Source organism: Homo sapiens, chromosome X, assembly GCF_000001405.40.
Source record: "Homo sapiens chromosome X, GRCh38.p14 Primary Assembly".
Classification (NCBI taxonomy): domain Eukaryota; kingdom Metazoa; phylum Chordata; class Mammalia; order Primates; family Hominidae; genus Homo; species Homo sapiens.
Window position 1 is genome coordinate 144,753,144 of NC_000023.11, and position 3,331 is coordinate 144,756,474.

The following is a 3,331-nucleotide window of genomic DNA, read 5'->3' on the forward strand; positions in this document are numbered from 1 at the left end:
GAACTAGCCTTGCATCACAGGGATGAAGCCAACTTGACTGTGGTGGATAAGCTTTTTAATGTGCGGCTGGATTTGGTTTGCCAGTATTTTATTGAGAATTCTTGCATATATGTTCATCAGGGATATTGGCCTGAAGTTTTTGTTGTTGTTGTTGTTTGCTGTTGTGGTATCTCTGACTGGTTTTGGTATTAAGATAATGACATAAAATGAGTTAGGGAGGACTCCTTCCTTTTCAATTGTTTGGAATTGTGGGGGTGTGTCCCGCAGACCCTGACCCAATGATGGATGAATAACATACACCAAGACAGATATTTTGCCTGTCAGTCTGGCTGAGGGTCGGGGCCACTCACAGACACCAAGGAGGGTGCTGTAAAGAGTCACAGCCACGGCCCCAAGTAGCCAGTGAAGCTCACATTTATTCAGTATAGATTAAATGACAAAGGTCTTGAGTAAACACCATTAGAGGGTAATTGACATTGCAGATCTCACAAATAGAGAGCAATTATGCACCCGCAGGTAATCAAAGGTTTGTCTTAGGACCACATGAGTAAACAAGCTATTTAGATAAACTCCCTTACATTCCTTTGTACCTATTTTAAGCTATTTACTCAAGGTAAGGATTAGGCTGCCTTCAGCCAGATCTATTACTGGAGTTTATGCAAACCCCCCGGCCTTTCAAGGTTTGTGCCTATTTCTTATAACTATCTTTCAAATTTTTCCCACCAGCCTGACAGAACTCCCACATGGAATAGTTTCAGAAGTAAGGGTATCAGCTCTTCTTTGTACCTCTGGTAGAATTAAGCTGTAAATACACCTGGTCCCGGGCTTTATTTAGTTGATAGGCTATTTATTACTGCCTCAATCTTGTTATTGGTCTATTCAGGGATTCAACTTCTTCCTGGTTCAGTCTTGAGAGGGTGTATGTGTCCAGGAGTTTATCAATTTCTTCTAGATTTTCTAGTTTATTTGCATAGAGGTGTTTATAGTATTCTCTGATAGTTGTTTGTATTTCTGTGGGGTCAGTAATAATCCCCTTTATCATTTTTTATTGTGTCTATTTAATTCTCATCTCTTTTTTATTAGTCTACTAGCAGTCTGTTTTATTTTTTTCAAAAAATTAGCTGCTTAATTCGCTGATTTTTTAAAAGGGTTTCTCCTGTCTCTATTTCTTTTAGTTCCACTCTGAGCTTGGTTAATTATTATCTTATTCTAGCTTTGGGGTTTGTTTGCTCTTGGTTCTCTAAATCTTTTAGTTGTGATGTTAGGATGTTGATTTGAGATCATTCTAGCTTTTTAATGTTGGCATTTAGTTATATAAAATTTCCTCTTAACATTGCTTTTGCTGCATCCTGGACATTCTGGTACATTGTCTCTTTGTTCTCACTAGTTTCAAAGAATGTCTTGATTCCTGCCTTAATTTCATTATTTACCCAGGAGTCATTCAGGAGCAGGTTTTCAGTTTTCATGTAATTGTGTGACTTTGAGTGAGTTTTTTAATCTTGAGTTCTAATTTGATTGTGCTGTGGCCTGAGAAGTTGTTATTATTTCAGCTTTTTGTGTTTTTTTTTTTTTTGCATTTGCTGAGGAGTGATTTACTTCCAATTATGTAATCAATTTTAGAGTAAGTGTCATGTGGTGCTGAGAAGAATGTATATTTTGTTGTTTTGGGCATCAAGAGTTTTGTAGATATCAGGTCCACTTGATCCAGAACTGAGTTAAAGTCCTGAATATCTTTATCAATTTTCTGAATCAATTATCTGTCTAATAGTGACTAGTGACCATGGGGTGTTAAAGTCTCCCACTACTATTGTGAGGAAGTATACATCTCTTTGTAGGTCTCTAAAAACCTGTTTTATGAATCTGGGTGCTCCTGTATTGAGTGTATATATATTTAGGATAGTCAGCTCTTGTTGAATTGACACCTTTACCATTATGCAGTGTCCTTCTTTGTCTCCTTTGATCTTTGTTAGTTTAAAGTCTGTTTTGTCAGAAACTAGGATTGCAACCTCTGTTTTCTTCTGTTTACCATTTGCTTGGTAAATTTTCCTCCATCCCTTTATTTTAAGTCTATATCTGTCTTTGTGTTTCAGATGGGTCTCTTGAAGACAGCATACTGATGGATCTTCACTCTTTAGCTTTCTGTTCTTTGTCTTTTAATTTTGCCATTTAGCCCATTTACATTTTAGTATTGTTATATGTGAATTTAATCCTGTAATCATGATGCTAGCTGATTATTTTGCAGACTTGTTTATGTAGTTGCTTCATAGTGTCATTGGTCTGTGTACTTCAGAGTGTTTGTGTAGCGGATGGTAATAATTTTTATTTTTCCATACTTAGTGCTTCCTTCAGGAGCTCTTGCAAGGCAGGCCTGGTGATGATGAAGTCCTTCAGCATTTGCTTGTCTGAAAAAGATCTTATTTCTCCTTCACTTATAAAGATTAGTTAGACTGGATATGAAACTCCAGGTTAAAAATTCTTTTTTTTTTTTTTTTTTTTCTTTTTTTTTTTTTTTTTGAGACGGAGTGTCACTCCATTACCCAGGCTGGAGTGCAGTGGCACAATCTTGGCTCACTGCAAGCTGCACCTCCTGGGTTCACGCCATTCTCCTGCCTCAGCCTCTGGAGTATCTTGGGCTACAGGTGCCCACCACCACGCCTGGCTAATTTTTTGTATTTTTAATAGAGACGGGGTTTCACTGAGTTAGCCAGGATGGTCTTGATCTCCTGACTTCATAATTCGCCCTCCTCGGCCTCCCAAAGTGCTGAGATTACAAGCGTGAGCCACCGTGCCCAGCCAAAAATTCTTTTAAGAATGTTGATTATTGGCCCCTAATCTCTTCTGGATTATAGGGTTTCTGCTGAAAGGTCTGCTATTAGTCTAATTGGCTTCCCTTTGTAGGTAACCTGGCCTTTCTTTCTGGTTGCCCTTCACATTTTTTCCTTCATTTCATCCTTGGAGAATCTGGTGATTATGAATTGGGGTTGATCTTCTCATAAAGTATCTTACTGGGGTTCTCTGGATTTCCTGAATTTGAAAGCTGTCCTGTCTTGCTAGGTTGGGGAAGTTCTCCTGGATGATATGTTTTCCAACTTGGTTCGGTTCTCCCTGCCTCTTTCAGGTACACCAAATCAGTCATAGGTTGTCTTTTTATATAATCTCATAGTTATGTGAGGTTTTGTTTGTTCCTTTTCTTTCTTTTTTCTCTAATCTTCTCTGCCTGTATTATTTCAGCAACATAGTCTCCAAGCTCTGATATCCTTTCTTCTCCTTGGTTTATTCAGCAATCGATACTTGTGTTTGCATTGTGAAGTTCTCATGTTGTGTTTTTCAC

The 3,331-nt window shown here is 38.1% G+C and overlaps 1 annotated feature.

Annotated features, from left to right (window-relative positions):
- Positions 217–793: an enhancer, noted in NCBI's record as "NANOG hESC enhancer chrX:143834881-143835457 (GRCh37/hg19 assembly coordinates)". NCBI's record gives its function as "activates a minimal SCP1, AML or CMV promoter by ChIP-STARR-seq in naive and primed H9 embryonic stem cells {active_cell/tissue: H9 hESC(naive and primed)}" and the evidence as "EXISTENCE:reporter gene assay evidence [ECO:0000049][PMID:30033119]".